At 46.9% G+C, this 20,445-nt stretch overlaps 1 protein-coding gene across 16 annotated transcripts in view, besides 3 other annotated features; it reads left to right on the top strand.

Annotated features, from left to right (window-relative positions):
• Window positions 1-19,782, top strand: part of SLC2A5 (solute carrier family 2 member 5) — a 59,090-nt gene extending 39,308 nt beyond the window's left edge. For 13 of the 16 annotated variants that reach the window (XM_047428615.1, XM_047428614.1, XM_047428606.1 and 10 more), the window contains 9 exons: window positions 7,154-7,278; window positions 12,951-13,103; window positions 14,699-14,824; window positions 14,901-15,088; window positions 15,226-15,336; window positions 15,959-16,060; window positions 16,382-16,457; window positions 16,864-16,991; window positions 17,099-19,782. In XM_047428615.1, coding sequence (XP_047284571.1) covers window positions 7,154-7,278; window positions 12,951-13,103; window positions 14,699-14,824; window positions 14,901-15,088; window positions 15,226-15,336; window positions 15,959-16,060; window positions 16,382-16,457; window positions 16,864-16,991; window positions 17,099-17,302 — 1,213 coding nt within the window. In that variant the 3' untranslated portion in view covers window positions 17,303-19,782. Of the gene's footprint in view, window positions 1-5,766; window positions 5,789-7,153; window positions 7,279-12,950; window positions 14,825-14,900; window positions 15,089-15,225; window positions 15,337-15,958; window positions 16,061-16,381; window positions 16,458-16,863; window positions 16,992-17,098 lie in introns of those variants that run through there. The other 3 variants (XM_047428625.1, NM_001328621.2, NM_001135585.2) reach the window with 3 other exon arrangements.
• Window positions 14,692-14,892: a silencer, noted in NCBI's record as "peak52 fragment used in MPRA reporter construct". NCBI's record gives its function as "represses an SCP1 promoter by STARR-seq MPRAs in K562 erythroleukemia cells {active_cell/tissue: K562}" and the evidence as "EXISTENCE:reporter gene assay evidence [ECO:0000049][PMID:32103011]".
• Window positions 17,104-17,183: an enhancer, noted in NCBI's record as "active region_112". NCBI's record gives its function as "activates an Ori minimal core promoter by ATAC-STARR-seq in GM12878 lymphoblastoid cells {active_cell/tissue: GM12878}" and the evidence as "EXISTENCE:reporter gene assay evidence [ECO:0000049][PMID:35858748]".
• Window positions 17,624-17,693: an enhancer, noted in NCBI's record as "active region_111". NCBI's record gives its function as "activates an Ori minimal core promoter by ATAC-STARR-seq in GM12878 lymphoblastoid cells {active_cell/tissue: GM12878}" and the evidence as "EXISTENCE:reporter gene assay evidence [ECO:0000049][PMID:35858748]".

Raw genomic sequence — 20,445 nt, 5'->3', positions numbered from 1 at the left:
CAGTGGCATGATCACAGCTCATTGCAGCCTTGAACTCCTGGGCTTAAGGGATCCTTCTGCCTCAGCCTGCTAAATAGCTGGAACTATAGGTGTGTGCCATGGTGCTCAGCTCATTTTTTAGTTTTTGTAGAGACAGGGTCTCACTAGGTTTCTCTGGCTGGTCTCAAACTTCTGGGCTCAAGCAATCCTCCCACCTTGGCCTCCCAAAGTGCTGGGATTACAGGCACGAACCGCTACGCCTAGCCTCTTCTATATTTTTAAAATTTATTTCACAATTTTGTTCTTCCAGATAGATCTGGTGTTTTATTTTGTATATATTGAGTGATGAGAGAAAACTAATTTTATTTTATTTTTCCAAGTGGAAAGTCAGTTGCTTTCAAATTTATCTTAGTTATTCATGCTCCTTTACTCTTCCATTTAAAATTTTAAGTCAGCTTCTCAAAATCCCGGAAGAAAGATTCTGACTGGCATTGCTCTGAATTTATAAATTAACCTGAGGAAAACTGACATCTCTACAATGTTGACCTTGCCCACTCATGAGCAAACTAGAGCTTTCCATTGTCTTCAGGTCTTCTTACATGTCCTCCAATAAAGTTTCATCGTAAAGGACCAAGGATTTAGTTTTCTTTATCCTGGGAGTCACTGTGGTTCCTTGTCTGAAGTTTCATGTCTTTGTCATCAGTTCTGAGACTTTTTCAGCCAATATCTCTACAAATATTGCCCCTCCCCGATTTTCTCCATGAAGTTCCTCCGTGTCTTTGAATCTCTTATATTTCCCATCTTCTTACCTCTCTCGGGTGCTTTCTAGGTAATTTCTGCAGGTCTACCTTCCTATTCATTAATTCTCTCTTCGGATGTAATAAACCTGCTACGTTTTTAATGATTATATTTTTCATTTCAATAAGTTCTATTTATTCGTTTTTAAAATCTACTTTCTATCATTGTTTTAGATAACTTTTATAGTTTTTTGTTCTTTCCTATAGTACTATTTTTATTTTATTTTTTTATTTTTTTGAGACAGAGTCTTGCTCTGTCACCCAGGCTGGAGTGCAATGGCGCAATCTTGGCTCACTGCAACCTCTGCCTCCCGGGTTCAAGTGATTATACTGCCTCAGCCTCCCAAATAGCTGAGATTACAGGCACCTGCCACCATGTCCAGCCAATTTTAGTATTTTTAGTAGAGATGAGGTTTCACCATGTTGGCCAGGCTGGTCTTGAACTCCTGACCTCAAGTGATCTGCCTGCCTTGGCCTCCCAAAGTGCTGGAATTACAGGCATAAGCCACTGTGCCCTGCCTATTTAAAAAATATATATATAAATATATATAATATATATAAATATATAATATATATTAATATATAAATATATAGATAAAATATATAATATATATTATATATAAATATATAATATATATAAATATATATAATATATATAAATATATATAATATATAAATATATAATATATATAAATATATATAATATATAAATATATAATATATATAAATATATATAATATATAAATATATAATATATATAAATATATATAGTATATAAATATATAATATATAAATACAATATATAAATATATAATATAAATATACAATATATAAATATATAATATAAATATATAATATATAAATATAATATATAAATATATAATATAAATATATAATATATAAATATAATATATAAATATATAATATATAAATATATAAAATATATAAATATATAAAATATATATTAACATATAAATATATGTAATATAAATATATAATATATATTATATATAAATATATATTATATATTAATATATAAATATATAATATATATTATATATTAATATATAATAGAGTAAGACCCTATCTCAAAAAATATATTTTAAAAAATATTTTTAAAACATATATATATATATATTTTTTTTTGAAATATGGTCTTACTCTGTCGCCCAGGCTGGAGTGCAGTGGCACGATTGTGGCTCACTGCAGACTCCACCTCCTGTGCTCAAGTGATCCTCCTCTCTAGTAGCTGAGACTACAGGGATGGGGTCTTGCTATGTTGCTCAGTCTGGTCTTGAACTCCTGGCCTCAAGCCATCCTCCCACCTTGGCCTCTGAAAGTGCTGAGATTACTGGCAAGAGCCACCATGTCCTGCCATTAAAAATAGACTTTATTAAAGAGCAGTTTTAGGCTCACATAATTGAGAAGAGGCTATAGAGACTTCCCATGTACCTCTCCTCCAATACATGCATAGTCTCCCCCTTTATCAACATCTCTCACCAGAGCGCTGTATTTGTTACAAATGATGAGACCTGCATTGACATATATCATCACCCAAGGTTCATAGTGTACATTAGGGTTTACTCTTGATGTTGTGCATTCTATGGGTTTTGACAAATGCGTAATGACTTGTATCCACCATTATAGTATCATATAGAGTAGTTTCACTGCCCTAAGAATCCTCTATGCTCTGCCTAGTCACCCCCTCCCTCCTCTCTAACTCCTGGCAACCACCGATCCTTCTACTATCTCCATAGTTTGCCTTTCCCAGAATGTCATATAGTTGGAATCACATAGTATGTAGGATTTTCTTTCTTTCTTTTTTTTTGAGACGGAGTCTCGCTCTGTCACCCAGGCTGGAGTGCAGAGGCACAATCTCGGCTCACTGCAACCTCTGCCTCCCATGTTCAAGCAATTCTCCTGCCTCAGCCTCCTGAGTAGCTGGGACTACAGGTGCACGCCACCACACCCAGCTAATTTTTGCATTTTTAGTAGAGACGGGGTTTCACCATGTTGGCCAGGATGGTCTCAATCTCTTGACCTCGTGATCCGCCCACCTCGGCCTCCCAAGGTGCTGGGATTACAGGCGTGAGCCACCGCGCCTGGCCCAGATTGGCCTCTTTTACTAATATGTACTGAAGGCTTCTCCATGTCTTTTCATGGCTTGAATATTTCATTGTCTGGTTGTACCACACTTTATCGGTTCAGTACCAGAGGACATCTTGGTTGCTTCCAGCTTTTGGCAATTATGAATAAAGCTGCCGTAAACATCCATGCACATGTAAGTTTCTGTGTAGATATACGTTTTCAGCTCCTTTGGGTAAATACCAAGGAGTATGTGATTGCTGGATCATATGAGTACAGATAAGCATATGTTTAATTTTATAGGAAACTGCCAAACTGTCTTTTAAAGTAGATATATCATTTTGCATTCCCACCAGCAACAAATGAGGGTTCCTGTTGCTCCAGCATTTGGTGTTGTCAGAGTTCTGGGTTTTTGTTCTTCTGACAGGTGGTACCTTATTGTTTAATTTGCATTTCCCCTATAACACATCATGTGGTGCACCTTTTCATATGCTTATTTCCCATCTGCGTATCTTGGTGAGGTGTCTGTTAAGATCTTTGGCCCATTTTTAAATTGGGTTGTTTGTTTTCTTTTTAAGTTTTAAGAGTTCTTTGTACATTTTGGACAACAGTGCTTTTAGATATGCCTTCTGCAAATATTTTCTCCTAGTTTGTGGCTTGTCTTTTCATCCTCTTAACAGTGTCTTTCACAGAGCAGAAAGTTTTAATTTTAATGAAGACCAGCTTATCCTTTGTTTGTTTGTTTCTTTCTTTCTTTCTTTGTCTCTCTCTCTCTTTTCCTTCATTCCTTCCTTCCTTCCTTTTCTTTTTTTCCCTCCTTCCTTCTTCTCTTTTTCTTTCTTTCTTTTTGCAATAAAGCTTTATTGTGATTTATTATTGTTATAAAATTACAGACAATTGCTCAGGAGGGGTGTACTACCTTAAAATGTCCACCTCCCTCCTTGATATGCCACTGGTTCCTATCTTTAGCTTGTTCTTTGTGAATTGACCTACTATTCTGAGAGGCCCTTTCACGTGAGCAACTTCAGACCAGAATTGTTGGTTTACCTCTTCCTCCCTGGAATTTCATCAGTCCAGTTGACGCTGTATGTATTTTGAGGCTGTGTTGGAATCGTCTCTGTTTATGATAGTTATATCTTCTTTGCCATTATTTCTTTTACTTTTATGTAATGCATATAACACCTCTGTGTTTTATGACATTTTTATCTCAAATCATATTTTGTCAGGTATTAAGACTATTACCCAACTTCCCTTTTTGTCTTTATTGGCTAAAGATTTTATATTTTCTAACCTTCTGTCTTTCATTTTAAGGATCAATTCTTTCTTTCATGGATTATGCCTTTGGTGTTATATCTGAAAAGTCATCGCCAAACCCAAGACTGTCTAGATTTTTTTTTCCTAAGCTATCTTCTAGGAGTTTTATAGTTTTGCATTTTATATTTAGGTCTGTGACCACTGTGAATTAATATTTGGGAAAATTCTAAGGTTTGTGTCTAGATTCATTTTCTTGCATATAGATGTCCAGTTGTTCCAGCACCATTTTCTTTCCTTTTTTTTGTTTTTTGTTTTTGAGACAGGGTGTCACTCTGTCACCCAGGCTGAGTGCAGTGACACAATCACATCTTGCTGCAGCCTCAAACTTCCTAGCTCAAGCAATACTCCCGCCTCAGCCTCTCCAGTAGCTGGGACTACAGGAGTGCACCACCAATAGTGCCCAGCAAATTTTTGAATTTTTTCTTTTTTTTTTTTGAGACAGAGTCTTGCTATGTCACCCAGGCTGGAGTGCAAGTGGCATAATCTCAGCTCACTGCAAACTCTGCCTCCTGAGTTCAAGCAATTCTCTAGCCTCAGTCTTCTGAGTAACTGGAATTAGAAGTGTGTGCCACCATACCCGGCTAATTTTTTTTTTGTATTTTTAGTAGAGGTGGGGTTTCGTTGTGTTGGCCAGGCTGGTCTCGAACTCCTGGCCTCAGGTGATCCACCCGCCTTGGCCTCCCAGAGTCCTAGGATTACAGGCGTGAGCCACTGCGCCTGGCCAATCTATTATTTTTTTCTAGAGATGGCGTCTCACTATGTTGCCCAGGCTGGTCTGGAACTTCTGTACACAAGTGATCCTCCTACCTCAGTGTCCAAAAGTGCTGAGATTACGGGCATGAGCACGGCACCCAGCCCAGCACCATCTTTTTGAAAAGACTGCCTTTTCTCCATTGCGTTCTCTTTGCTCCTTTGTCAAGGATCAGTTGAATAGACTTAACGTGGGTCTATTTCTGGACTCTCTGTTCTGTTCCATTGATCTATTTGTCTATTCTTTTTTTTTTTTTTTCTTTAGACAGAGTCTCGCTGTGTCACCCAGGCTGGTGCAGTGGGGCCATCTCGGCTCACTGCAACCTCCGCCTTCCAGGTTCAAGCGATTCTCATGCCTCAGCCTCCCGAGTAGCTGGGATTAGAGGTGCGTGGCTGTAGTAGAGACGACGAGGTTTCACCATGCTGACCAGGCTGGCCTTGAGCTCCTGACTTCATGTGATGCCGCCCGCCTTGGCCTCTCAAAGTGCTGGGATTACAGGCGTGAGCCACCATGCCCGGCCTGTTTGTCTATTCATTTACTAGTACCACGCTGTCTTGATTACTGTAGCTTTATGGTAAGCCTTGAAGTCAGGTGATGTTGGTTCTCCAATACAGTACTATTTGGATTCCTTATTTTATGACACTAATCATTTTAAACATTTTATAGTCCAGTCTGATTCTGTTGTCTGAAGGTGTGCTGTTAGTATAAGCGGCTCTCACGTGTGGCAAGTTTCTCAGTGTTTAGGAATGCTGGAGCTCCACTCGCTGACAGCTTCGTCCATCATGAGGGTCCTCATCATGAGGGCTCCATTGCGAGAGGCCCCTCCAGAGAAGTTTGCTTTGCTTCTGTCAGGATCTCCAGGGTAGGCTTGTTCCTGACTTCAATGGGAAGGCTTTCCAAGTTTTATTAAGTGTGATGTTTGATATAGGTTTTAGGTAGATTTCCTTTATCAGCTTAAAGAAGTTCTTCTATTTATAGTTTGTTAAGGCTGGTTTTAAAAAAAATGGCTGGGCGCAGTGGCTCATGCCTATAATCTCAGCAGTTTGGGAGACTGAGGTGGGCAGATCACTTGAGGCCAGGAGTTCGAGACCAGCCTGGCCAACATGGGGAAACTCCATCTCTATTACAAATACAAACACTTAGCTGGGTGTGGGGGCACGTGCCTGTAATCCTAGCTACTTGGAAGGCTGAGGTACAAGAATCACTTTGACCTGGCAGACCGAGGTTACAGTGAGCTGCGATCACTGCACTCCAGCCTGGGTGACAGAGCGAGACTCTGTCTCAAAAAAAAGAAAGGAGGAAAGAAACTTAGGCCAACTTTTAAATAAACAAAAATTTAAAAATCATAATGGTGTTAAATTTTATTGACTTCTTTTGCTGCTTCTATTGAGATAATCCGATGTTTTCCCCCAATATAATGTTTGTTTACTTATTTATTTATTTATTTTTTGAGGTGGAGTCTCGCTCTGTCACCCAGGCTGGAGTGCAGTGGCACGATCTCAGCTCACGGCAACCTCCACTTCCTGGGTTCAAGCAATTCTCGTGCCTCAGCCTCCTGAGTAGCTGGGATTACAGGCACCTGCCACCAGTGGGCCCTGCTAGTTTTTGTATTTTTAGTAAAGACAGTGTTTTACCATGTTGGCCAGGCTGATCTTGAGCACTTGACCTCAAGTGATCTGCCCACCTCGGCCTCCCAAAGTGCTGGGATTACAGGCGTGAGCCACCATGCCTGGCCCCAATATAATCTTTAATATGGTGAAATACATTGAAATATTTTTGTATATGCTGTTGAATTTAATCTACTAAGATTTCATTTAGGATTGTGGCATCCACGTTGACATAAGTGAGATGGACCTATACTTTTCTTTTCCTCTAATGTCCTTACCCAGGACAATTTTGGGGTTGGCTTTCAAGATTACACCAAAATTATAAATTAGCTAATGATTTCAAAAACCCTTTACTATATCTTAATACAGAGCCCTTTCTCCATTTTCACCACTGACGCCCTCTGGACTGTGGTCATTTCCATTTGCTCCCCACACTGAGCGTATTCCCACACCAGGCCATGCACTTGACCTGTATCAGTCTCAGGTCCCAGAGAGCTAAACGCACAGCAGTAAAGCTGCTGTAACTGCTGGAGCCTATGCAGAGGAGACACTCCAGAAACATTTCTTGAATGAAAGAGTGAATTCTTCAGCAAAACTAACTGATATTTTGTCCTCTGCAGAAAAGGGGCCTTGCTGTTCAACAACATATTTTCTATCGTGCCTGCGATCTTAATGGGATGCAGCAGAGTCGCCACATCATTTGAGCTTATCATTATTTCCAGACTTTTGGTGGGAATATGTGCAGGTAAACAATGCTATGCTGTATTGCCATTCTGTGAGGGTCGTCAAGGAGGAGGACAACAGGTTCCCAGGGACTAGAACCAATCTGTGATGTCTGAAGCGTGTAGAAAGCGTTCCTATACCTCTGCTGTGAAACAGATGGTTGAGCCCTACCTGGTTCTCAGGTGCAGAGCTTTACTGTGATGTTTCCTACAAAGAAACATCTTTGAAAGACTGAAATGCAGAATCTTAACCTGGGAAGTGTCATTCCAATCCAATCCTTTATCTCAATATTTTCTCAACTGCAGGTCATGACCAGTTAGTGGGTGGTGATGTCTGTTTAGTGAGCAGCATTTTCTTTTTAAAAATAGAATAGCTGAGTGCAGTGGCTCACACCTGCAATCCAGCTACTCTGGAAGCCGAGGCGGGAGGATCACTTGAAACCAGCCTGGGCAACACAGTGAAACCCTGTGTATTAGTCTGTTTTCACACTGCTGTAAAGAATACTCCCCAAGACTGGGTAATTTATAAAGAAAAGAAGTCTAATTGACTTACAGTTCCCCATGGCTGGAGAGGCCTCAGGAAACTTACAATCATGATGGAAGGGGAAGCAGACCTGTCTTACATGGCAGCAGGCGAGAGAGAGAGAGAGAGAGAGAAGGGAAACTGCCTTATAAAACCATCCGATCTCATGAGAACTTGGTATCACAAGAAAAACATGGGAGAACTCGCCCTTATAATCCAATCACCTCCCATCAGGTCCTCCCTTGACACATGGGGATTACAATTTGAGATGAGATTTGGGTGAGGACACAGAGCCAAACCATATCCCCATCTCAAAGATAAATAAATATATATATAAATCAATAAATAAAATGGAAGAGGCAGTGTTACGTGTAGTAAAGATAAGTATTGCCCACTTTTGTTTCACATACACACACACACACACACACACACACACACACACACGAGAACCAGGTTGCAGTGGAAAATGTATTTCTGTATTTTTTACTGTGGGTGAGAGTCAAAAAAGCTTGAGAAACAATCTAATGTATGAATTCCACTACCAGAAAGGTGCTAACAGTGCCACATTTTAAGTTTTATAGGGCAATTTAAAGTTTGCCAAGGGCGTACTGAGTTCTATTCCTGAAATGCCCACCTGCTGAGCGGGTGCTGACTCGCTGAGTCCTCTCATCTAACAAACTGGGAGGTGTTTTTTCCTAATCCCACTCTGTTGCTTCCAAGCCTAGGCTGCCAGGCTGTACAGTGGTGATTTTAGAAAACTCTCCCATAATTGCTTCACACTGAGGAGAGATGAGGGGTAGAGCCGTGCCAGTGGCTTTCCCTGAGTTGGCATCCTTAGTAGGCAGTATTTCTCACTGCCAGGTGGGGAGAGGCATCTAGGATGGAAGCTCTCAGGGTCCTACAGGTGCAGAGTGGGCCCCTTGAGGGAGCCCCTCCCAGGTGCCTCACTGCCTCCCTCCAGTCACTTTCCCAACATTGCCAAGGAACTCTCATTTGTTCCTTCCAAACGCAGGGATAGGGACAAATGGATAATTTGGCTGGCTGTCCATAAACCCCTCAGCTAGGATTAATTGGCAGTAACAGAGACGTGAAAAAAAGATGAGAAGACATTTCCCAAACAGAGACTAAGTCATGCCAAAGGGAGGATGGTGAGCCCCATGGCAAACTTCACTTAGTGCTCGGCTTTCCCTGAGAGCACCTGGCTGGGTCTCTGCCATCTTTTTTTTTTTTTTTTTTTTTGAGATGGAGTTTCCCTCTTGTCACCCAGGCTGGAGTGCTGTGGCATGATCTTGGCTCACTGCAACCTCTGCCTCCCGGGTTCAACTGATTCTCCTACCTCAGCCTCCTGAGTAGCTGGGATTACAGCTGCCCGCCACCACACCCAGCTAATTTTTGTATTTTTGGTAGAGATGGGGTTTCACTATGTTGGCCAAGCTAGTCTCAAACTCCTGACCTCAGCCTCCCGAAATGCTGGGATTACAGGCGTGAGCCACCATGCCCGGCCGGTCTCTGCCATCTTGCCCTGACCTGTGGGTTTTCTCTGCAGTGGGCTCAACATTTTGAAAAATACATTCCTAAAAGTTGCCACCAGTAAGCAGGTCCAATCACTTTTCTATTGACCATTAACAATACAGAATTGTTTCCAGCAGAGAAATATTAGGCTCCAATAGATAACAAATCAGTTAAAAATCCCAGCCTTTACTCTAAAGTCAGCAGTTCTCAGTTTTTGGTCTCAGACCCCTTTACACACTTAAAATTATTGAGGGCTCCAAAGAGCTTTTGCTCATGTGGGTTACATTGATCAATATTTACTGTATTAGAAATGGCAACCGAGAGACATATTAATTCATTTTTTAAAATAAGCCTATTACATGAAGAGTGGCCTTGTTTGACATTTTTGCAAATCTCTTTAATGTCTGGCTTAATAGAAGACAGCTGAATTCTCAGATGTACTTCTGGGTCAGGTCAGTTGTGATGTGGCCTGGCAAGAAGTCTCTGGAAAACTCCCATATGCTCATGAGAGAGAGAGAATGAAGAGCAGATATCATCTCTGGATTATTATGAAAATAGTTTTGATCTCACAGACACCCTTAAAAGGTCTCGGGATCCCTGGGTCCTCAGATCACGGCTTGAGAACACTGGCCATTAGGGGCATAATCCATTTGCCAACAGTTTTTCACATACCTCCAGCAAGTCAGCAAAGTGGATCATCAAGCTGTGTGCTGCTTAGACACTCATTTTAAAACCACGCATATGGCCGGGTGCAGTGGCTCATGCCTGTAATACCAGCACTTTAGGAAGCTGAGGCAGTTGGATCACTTGAGGTCAGGAGTGCGAGACCAGCCTGGCCAACATGGTGAAACTCGGTCTCTACTAAAAATACAAAAATTAGCTGGGCATGGTGGAGTAGGTCTGTAATCCCAGCTACTAGGGAGGCTGAGGCATGAGAATCGCTTGAACCCAGGATGGGGAGGTTGCAGTGAGCCGAGATCGTGCCACTGTACTCCAGCCTGGGCAACAGAGTGAAACTCTGTCTCAAAAACAAAACAAACAAACCAACACAAAAATAAAACCACCCATATGAACAAGAACCACATTGCTCACTCTAAAATGAAGTAAACAACTACCTTGACAAGGGGGGTGCCAAGATGAGTATGACTTTTACTGGAACATGCTCACAGTTCACTGATTTGTTACTAATCAACTTCTTGGCAGGAAGACTGAAGGTATTCATTGGCTCAGAGGAATTTAAACTTTTTGTTTGTTTGTTTGTTTGTTTGAGATGGACTCTTGCTTAGTTGCCCAGGCTGGAGTGCAGTGGCACGGTCTCGGCTCACTGCAAGCTCCACCTGCTAAGTTCAAGCAATTCTTGTGCCTCAGCCTCCTGAGTAGCTAGCACTGTAGGCATGTGCCACCGTGCCCAGCTAATTTTTTTGTATTTTTCATAGAGATGGGGTTTCACCATGTTGGCTAGGCTGGTCTCGAACTCCTGGCCTCAAGTGATCCACCTGCCTCAGCCTCCCAAAATGCTGGGATTACAGGGGTGAGCTACAGTGTCCAGCAGGAGGAATTTAAACTTCAAAAGCCAGGCCAGGCACGGTGGCTCATGCCTGTAATCCCAGCACTTTGGGAGGCCGAGGCGGGTGGATCACCTGAGGTCGGGAGTTCAGGACCAGCCTTGCCAACATGGTGAAACCCCGTCTCTACTAAAAATACAAAAATTAGCCAGGCGTGGTGGCGGGCGCCTGTAATCCCAGCTACTCAGGAGGCTGAGGCAGGAGAATCACTTGAACCTGGGAGGCAGAGGTTGCAGTGAGCTGAGATCGCACCACTGCACTCCAGCCTGGGCGACAAGAGCGAAACTCGCATCTCGAAAAAAAAAAAAAGCCACTTTGCTCTGATTCTCGTATCAGAACTGGCTGGCTGGGAGGTCCTAGTGGAGTCATTTTAAAGACAAAAATAGAGATTGCTTTCCACCAACGTACAGGTAACCCCATCTCTTCACAAACCTCCTGAGGTTTGACCCTTTATTAATATCCTTCACCAAGATGCTCTTGCTGCTAAGTGGCTCTTGTTAAGTGGTGAGGACACAGCCTCCCACTTCAGCTCCCAGGAGGCCTTCCTTTCCTCTGCAGCCCTTTGCCCTGGGCCTGTGAGGTGTTGCTCCCTCTTCCCACCTAGACATGCTAAGAGCTGCTTTAAAGACTGCCCCTCTTTGCTCTGCAAATGAGGAAGAATCGATATTAATGAACTGTGATGTCTCTTTTCAAATACTGAGCAGAGACATCTGTGGGTAGAATTGCCAAACAGGAAAACATGGCCTCAGGTACCCTCCTATCTCAGTTCTATCAAATACCCCGCCATCAACAGCAGCTCCAACCTCTGCTCACTCCAAACTCTGTTCCTGAGAGCCTCCCTTCAGAGACCCACGTCCCTGAGCCTCCATTTGACTCAGGATTTGGTACCTGATACTTGGACTAGTGAAACTTCCTCTCCATCCCCAGCCTCTGGATGTGCTTTTAGGAGAATTAAATAGGGCAATATATGTGAAAATACTTTGGAAGCTGCAAAATTAAATTCTGCCTATGTTTTTTTAATTGACATCAGGCAACACGTCATTCTATAAAATAGAGTAAGTTTTCCCTCCACCAGATTCAAGTATGATGGGAATATTTACAAGTTTAAATACTGGGGATTCAGAAGTAGTCCAGGCATTACAGAAATCCCAGAAATGCAGATATTCCGTAATATGTGTTGACATTTTAAATGCTTATAGAGACATATAACTTGTTCTTAAAGGTGTATGAAACTATCTCTGCATTGGTTTATTTACTGTTCCTATAAGGTAAAGCTGGGGGCTAGGGGTCCTGGGCCATACACACATACACACACATACACACATGCCATATATATACATACACATACACATGCCCTATACACACACACACACACACCCAGGCCACACACACACCCACACACACACATATATATACACATACACACACACACACACACAGAGGCCATATATATATATATGTACACACACATGCCATATATATATACACACACACACACACACCAGGCCATGTCCATATACACATACACACACACACACAGAGGCCATACACACACAGACATACACACCATATGTAAATACACACAGGCCATATATATCATGCGCGCGCACACACACACACACATATACATATTTTTAGTGGAAACGGTTCCACTATGTTGCCCAGGCTGGTCTCAAACTCCTGACCCCAAGTAATCTATCCTCCCCACTTAGCCTCCCCAAGTGCTGAAATTACAGGCACGAGCCATCACACCCAGCTGCCTTGCCTTTTATGAAACAGACCCTCCTCAAAAAGCAGAAACGTGAGTGGGTCTAGACTCAGGCCAGGGAGCGGGAAGGCCGTAGATCCAGCTGGCCAGTGTCCCCAGATGATATGGGCCAAAGCAAGGGCCCCTGTGCATGAGCTCCTTTGATCTGTTTCTCTTTCCTTAAAGTATAAAGGGCTAAGAATTAAAAGAGGTGTTTGCTTTCTCCTTTGCAGTTTTGAGAGAGTTCTGGCCCAAATAATGTTATTGCTAAGAATAGTATACTTGAAGACAGCTTGTCCCTGCCAGACTAATTTTTTCTGATGGTGTTTCTATTTCACCTCCTCCCAGGTGTATCTTCCAACGTGGTCCCCATGTACTTAGGGGAGCTGGCCCCTAAAAACCTGCGGGGGGCTCTCGGGGTGGTGCCCCAGCTCTTCATCACTGTTGGCATCCTTGTGGCCCAGATCTTTGGTCTTCGGAATCTCCTTGCAAACGTAGATGGTGAGTTCAGGACATCTCGGGAGCACCCCCACCCCTTCACCACTACCCTTGGCCCCCTCCTTGTGTTCCAAAGCCACCACCACAGGACAGGACTTTCTGCAGACTGGTCTCTTCTAACAGGCTGGATGTCCTTGGGGGGCCCATCCTGTCCCGAGCCAACATAGCAGGCCATGGACAAAGGCGCGATAAGGGACTGGCCAGCGTTTACTATCTAGTCCCTCTTAGGAGATGGATGAGGTGGCTTTGAGTGATGGGCTTCCCTGCCTGCTCAGCAGCTGTCCATATGGAGGCCCGTGGCATAGCAATGACAGCCACCAGTGTGCCAGGCTCTGTGCTTGGGGCGGACCCAGCATCAGTTCATAGGACCCTCCCAGCAACGCTGCTGCCTGGGACTCAGTGATTATCCCATTTTGCAGACCAGAAAGAGAAGTACCAGGAGTGAGGGTGGCCTGGCCCCATGGGGGAGGTGGTGAGGACATCCCAGACCCTGCCTCCACCTTCCCCAAGACAGCCTGGGGCCTGGCATGCGGCAGGTGCACAGACACCTGTAACCGGGGTTGTTTTTGCACGACTTTCCCTTTAAACTATCATCAGTCATCCCGTCAGCCAAAACATAAGCCAGTTCCCGCCAGGGTTCTACACACCGTCTGCAAGTCAGTCAAGTGGATCATCAAGCTCTGTGCTGCTTAGACACTCTCTGTAGAAAGTGCTTACCGTGAGCCAAGTGCCAAGTCTTTTTTAGTAACTCATGTATTCCTCAGAACAGCCCTATTAAGCCTGTACCAGTATCATACCCATTTTGCAGGTGCATCACAGGTACAGAGAGATTGGAAGACTGGTCCAAGGTCTCATGAGGATGCAGACCCAGCGGCACAGACCTAGGTCCCTGTTTAAGTACCACATGCTCCTGCCTCTCCTTCACTCCTGCATGTGTTGGGGACACTTACGCCAAGGCGCCGCGTTCTCATTAGGAGCTGGGACCAGAAGTGAATAAGCCAGGTTCCTGTCTCAGGGAGCTCCATAGCAGGACTCAGAACCACACACGGCCCTCTAGGCATTTGTGAAGCTCTGTGCTTCATTTTTTTGCTTTGCCTCTAGTTTTGCCTTTGCAGTACCAATGCAGCCAGCCCATGTGTCCCCTCTATGTGGAATGTTAACGATATTCCCACTGTTTCTGGTGTCCTTTCTGTAATCAGAGCTGCCGTGACCATTCCAGTTCAGGCATCCTGGTGGCCTGGCTTCTCTGGGCATAGAGCTGGGAGTGGGCAGTTGGGTCAGGCCGGGTATGCCCAGCTCCTCCAGCCCCTGCAAGACTGTCCTCTGAAGGACACGGGGACGTTCTCACCAGCACATGGTATTACCGGCCTCGTCGGTGTGGTCTGTCTGATGGGCGCAGGGGTGCGTCGCTGCTGATCCCTGCTGCAGGTGTTTCCCGAGTGTCCACCGTCGGGAGTTGCTGTTCTTAGGGCTGGGAAAGCTGTGCCCTCCTGGAGCCTGCACCCCACTCAGGATGACGGGGCTGGGGCCGGCTCTGCAGAGGGCGCCTTCGGGGTGGTGGGGAGGCCGCTGGTGCCAGCTCGCTGCCTTCCTCCCAGGCTGGCCGATCCTGCTGGGGCTGACCGGGGTCCCCGCGGCGCTGCAGCTCCTTCTGCTGCCCTTCTTCCCCGAGAGCCCCAGGTACCTGCTGATTCAGAAGAAAGACGAAGCGGCCGCCAAGAAAGGTAACGAGGGCTCTGGCGGGGGCGGCCTCCAGGTTCTGCTCCCCAGCCCTGGTCCGACGGTGCCGCTTCTCCCCAGCCCTACAGACGCTGCGCGGCTGGGACTCTGTGGACAGGGAGGTGGCCGAGATCCGGCAGGAGGATGAGGCAGAGAAGGCCGCGGGCTTCATCTCCGTGCTGAAGCTGTTCCGGATGCGCTCGCTGCGCTGGCAGCTGCTGTCCATCATCGTCCTCATGGGCGGCCAGCAGCTGTCGGGCGTCAACGCTGTATGGGCCGGGCTGCGGCTCGGGAGCTGGGGAGGGCTCGGGGGGCGCGGGGCGCAGGTCCTGGGGCGCCGGGCGTGGGTCCTGGCGCCGAGGCCGCCTCCTCCGGGCAGCCGCCCAGCCCCGCGCTTGCCTTGCAGATCTACTACTACGCGGACCAGATCTACCTGAGCGCCGGCGTGCCGGAGGAGCACGTGCAGTACGTGACGGCCGGCACCGGGGCCGTGAACGTGGTCATGACCTTCTGCGCCGTGAGTGTCCTGGGAGCTGCCCACAGCCTCCACCCAAGGCCCCTCGGGCCCCACGCCCCAGCCTCGGCGCCGCCAAAAGGGCAGCCCGTGGCCCCAAAACGTGGAGGACCAGCCGCTACTACAGAAACTCTGTGTGGGAGGTGGCCCCGCACCAGCCCCTCACACTTGGGGCTGCCGAGCCGCACCGGGCCCGGGGCCACCACCTGACCGGGATGTAGGCGTGCCTGGACCAGGCAGCGCCCACTGCTGGGTGGCTCCGAGCCCGGGCTACCCGGAGTGAGGCTCGGCCACCTCGGGATGGGAGCAGGCTCCGTGGGGGCAGCGTCTCCGGTGCATGCAGACATCTGGCCTCCCGAGGGCAGGAATCCTGAGGCTCAGGGTTGTGGGATTAGGAGGCCCTAGAGCTGAGTCTCAAGGGTGGGCAGCTGGGGTCCCGCATCACAGCCACAGCCGACTTCCCGCTGGCTGCCCAAGGGCATGTCTTGCACATGTGAATGTGAGTGTGCGTGCACATGGGTGGGCACCCGGTCCGCCCAGCTCTCCTCACAGCTGCCCCATTGGAGGGGGCTGGAGGGAGGTGAAGCTGGGCCTCTCCCGCCTGAGCCCTGCCACCCTCCTGTAGGTGTTCGTGGTGGAGCTCCTGGGTCGGAGGCTGCTGCTGCTGCTGGGCTTCTCCATCTGCCTCATAGCCTGCTGCGTGCTCACTGCAGCTCTGGCACTGCAGGTGAGGACAGGCCAGGGTCCCAGGAGCCCGGAGCTGCACCAGGAAGACCAGTGCCCCTCCCATCCTGCGCCTCCACCTGCCTTAAAATAAAAGGGGTCACAATGAGCTGTTTTAGCAAATACAACTGGCCAGACATCTGGGGACCGTGTGTCCTGCCAGCTCATAGCCCACGTTCAGCTGATTTCCCAGTGGCTCATCGAGGTGGCACTGCTGGGGGAGGAGCCAGGTGCCATCCTCCACCCACCAGGGCAGGTTGGCCGCCCCCTGGGGTCCCGTCCTAGCTTGTCTGCTCCAGGTGAACCAACTGCTTTCTCTCCACAGGACACAGTGTCCTGGATGCCATACATCAGCATCGTCTGTGTCATCTCCTACGTCATAGGACATGCCCTCGGGCCCAGTACGTACCCAAAGCTGGCCTCAGGGTGTCACAACCCCCCCTGGTCCCAGAAGCTCCGGGCTGGAGCTCCTTAGAGATACCAGGGATGGCCAATGCAGCCTGGAAATGGCATCTCTTCCCCCGTCCACCGCAAGGGGGTGGGTGGCACATAATGAGAGCGAAATGGTAAAATGGTGGTGTGGGTGGGAACACACAGACTGTGCAGGCAGCAGAGTGGGCCTAACGGGTGGTTGCTGGCCTGCCATCCCTGTACACTGCCGTTTGCCCCCTACGTGCTGCCCCACATGCCCAAGAGTCCTGGAGACGCCTCTGTCCTGGGGCCAGCTACCTGGTGGGTCTGCATGGCCAGGCCTGGGATGCTCGGGCCCGCTCTGCCTTCAGGGAGGCTGCTCTCCTCCCCCTACAGGTCCCATACCCGCGCTGCTCATCACTGAGATCTTCCTGCAGTCCTCTCGGCCATCTGCCTTCATGGTGGGGGGCAGTGTGCACTGGCTCTCCAACTTCACCGTGGGCTTGATCTTCCCGTTCATCCAGGTGAGTGGGGCCCGGGGCCCACGCTCACCACCAGATCCCCATGCAGTACAGTGCGAGCCCCTGGGCAAACCACGTCCCACACGTGTCACCTGCCCCTCTTCCCGCAGGAGGGCCTCGGCCCGTACAGCTTCATTGTCTTCGCCGTGATCTGCCTCCTCACCACCATCTACATCTTCTTGATTGTCCCGGAGACCAAGGCCAAGACGTTCATAGAGATCAACCAGATTTTCACCAAGATGAATAAGGTGTCTGAAGTGTACCCGGAAAAGGAGGAACTGAAAGAGCTTCCACCTGTCACTTCGGAACAGTGACTCTGGAGAGGAAGCCAGTGGAGCTGGTCTGCCAGGGGCTTCCCACTTTGGCTTATTTTTCTGACTTCTAGCTGTCTGTGAATATCCAGAAATAAAACAACTCTGATGTGGAATGCAGTCCTCATCTCCAGCCTCCCCACCCCAGTGGGAACTGTGCAAAGGGCTGCCTTGCTGTTCTTGAAGCTGGGCTGTCTCTCTCCATGTTGGCCTGTCACCAGACCCGAGTCAATTAAACAGCTGGTCCTCCACTTTGCTGGTTCAGCCTTCGTGTGGCTCCTGGTAACGTGGCTCCACCTTGATGGGTCAACCTTTGTGTGGCTCCTGGTAACATAACAACAACAGTTACTATAGTGGTGAGATGGAAGGAATCAAATTTTGCCAGAGAAACTAACTTGGTGGCCCCGACAGGTCTTCCGGGGCCATGGGCATTTGTTTAGAGCCAAATTCATCCTCTTACCAGATCCTTTTCCAGAAATACCTGTCTAGGAAGGTGTGATGTCAGAAACAATGACATCCAGAAAGCTGAGGAACAGGTTCCTGTGGAGACACTGAGTCAGAATTCTTCATCCTAAATTATTTTGTTAGTGGAAAATGGAATTGCTTCTGTGTAGTCAATAAAATGAACCTGATCACTTTTCAACAAGACGTGCTGCTGTTCTTTGAGCAAGTAGAAGGCAGGAGGAAGTTCCCTGCTCATTCAGGCAGTGTTTTTTTTGTTTTTATTTTTGCTTTTTTTTTTTTTTTTAAGACGGAGTCTCGCTCTGTCACCCAGGCTGGAGTGCAGTGGTGCGATCTCAGCTCACTGCAAACTCCACCTCCCGGGTTCACACCATTCTCCTGCCTCAGCCTCCTGAGTAGCTGGGACTACAGGCGCCTGCCACCACGCCCGGCTAACTTTTTTGTATTTTTAGTAGAGACTGGGTTTCACTGTGTTGGCCAGGATAGTCTCAATCTCCTGACCTCATGATCCGCCCACCTAGGCCCCTCAAAGTGCTGGGATTACAGGTGTGAGCCACTGCGCCCGGCCACTTCAGGCAGTTTGACTGCACGAGTGTCAGTTCCTTGAGGGCAGGGGCTTGGTCAGTTTTGTTTATGCCTGAATCCCCAGCATCTCGAAGAGGGCCTCTGGAGGCTGAGGTGGGAGGATTGCTTAAGCCTGGGAAGTAGAGGTTGCAGTGAGCTGAAATTGCACCCTATACTCCAGCCTGGGCAACACAGTGAGATCCCATCTCAAAAAAAATTTTTTTAATTGGGCATGGTGACACGCCTTTGGGGTCCCAGCTATTTGGGAGGCTGAAATGGGAGGATCGCTTGAGCCTGGGAGGTCAAGGCTGCCCTGAGTCATGATTGCATCACTGCACACCAGCCTGCATGACAGAATGAGACCTTGTCTCAAATAAATAAATACATGTAAGATTGAGGAAGCTTCCAAATGTCCTCACATATGTAATGAAATCTTGAGGAGTCTTAAAATCTTGAGACTGTGGTGGGGGAGGAAGGGAAAAGGAACAGGGTCTTGATATGGTTTGGCTGTGTCCCCACCCAAATCTCATCTTGAATTGTAGCTCCCATAATTCCCATGTGTTCTGGGAGGGACCCTGTGGGAGATAATTGAATCATGGGGGCAATTTCCCCCATACTGTTCTCATGGTAGTGAATCAGCCTCATGAGATCTGATGGTTCTGTAAGGGGTAAAACCTTTTGCTTGGTTCTCATTCTCTCTTGCCTGCCACCAGGTAAGACGTGCCTTTTGCTTTCTGGCATGATTGTGAGGCCTCCCCAGCCATGTGGAATGGCGAGTCCATTAAATCTCTTTTTCTTTGCAATTTACCCAGTCTCTGATACATCTTTATCAGCAGCATGAAAATGGTCTAACACAGGTCTCTCCCCAAAAATATAGAGAGCTGGAGGTTTTTCTTAGAGATATGAATAAAGGGTGTGAGTGTGAGTGTATGTGCAAAAATATGGATAAAACCTTGAAAGTGCTGAATGGCCTGTAGCAAGAAGTGATGTCTTCTCATAGATGGGTGGCAGAGGCTGGTGGCCGGGAGAGAGAGCAGTGGGACTTGGGAGCACTTTTTGTGGGTATGTAATGGAGATTCCACCAGCAACAAGCTAAACCACTCACAAGCGGGCCCAGAGGAAGTAAACAGAACACTGTGGTTGAACCATCCTTGGCCTTCTGCAGCAAGGATCTGCAGCCTGGAAGGGGCACAGAAACAACCAAAGATGAAGGCTCTCAGAGCTGAGGAGAGGCCAGGTCAGAATATCAGAAGTCAAGAAACTGCAGCACCTCTAACACAGGGGAGGCTATGAAGTTCATGGTTCTGGATGTCTGCTCCCTGGGTTCAAACCTTGGTCCTGCCACATTAGTTGTGCAACTTGGAAAGTTACTTGGCTTTTTTGTATCTCAGTCTTCTCTTCTGTTAAATGGCACTAATAGTAAATGTCTCACATGTCCATTGTGAGAATTAAATGACTTTATATGTTTTTGGTGTTTGGATCAGTGACATGTATTTAGTTTTCTTAGGTACTTTTCAGTGCTTGGGAATAAGCATTAATCTTGAGGACAAATAAACTCACAAATAAGATACAGTGAGAGGCCACTCTGCATGTATACTAGGATTGAGCAATCTAGTAAATGGATGGCAGATGGTGGGGGCCATTTCACAGTTGCAGTGGGAGGTTACAGATAAGCAGGGAGAGAGCGCGAATGATCCATGTGGTAGTAGATCACTCTCTACTCCAAGTAGACTTGGAGACCTTGGTATGAACTCACATGCAGTTTAATATAGATTCAGGCTACATATACAAATATAGATAAGTATCTACACATGGGTTAGTAAAATACAGCAGGAAGAGAGATGTGGGAGTATAGAAGGGAGGTAAGGAATTTGGAAAAACAAGTGTGATTTCTCCAGTTGGAGAAGATGTGATAGGAAAGTGAGGGATGGGCATTCCAGGCAACAGACAGCACAGAGAGGTGTGGAGGCATTGAGGGATGCTACAAGTTATTTGGTCTGAAAGTGAAGCCAGAGAGGTGGCAGGGGCTGCGGGGTGGGGGCAGCTATAGTGGATCCTGTGGGTCCCAGGAGCCAAGTTGAACTTCATTGTCAAGACAACCAGGGGTTATGTGATGACCG

This window comes from Homo sapiens, chromosome 1 (assembly GCF_000001405.40).
Source record: "Homo sapiens chromosome 1, GRCh38.p14 Primary Assembly".
In the NCBI taxonomy this organism is placed as follows: Eukaryota; Metazoa; Chordata; class Mammalia; order Primates; family Hominidae; genus Homo; species Homo sapiens.
Note: the sequence above shows the minus strand (reverse complement) of the source record. Positions and strands in the feature narration are given on the sequence as shown.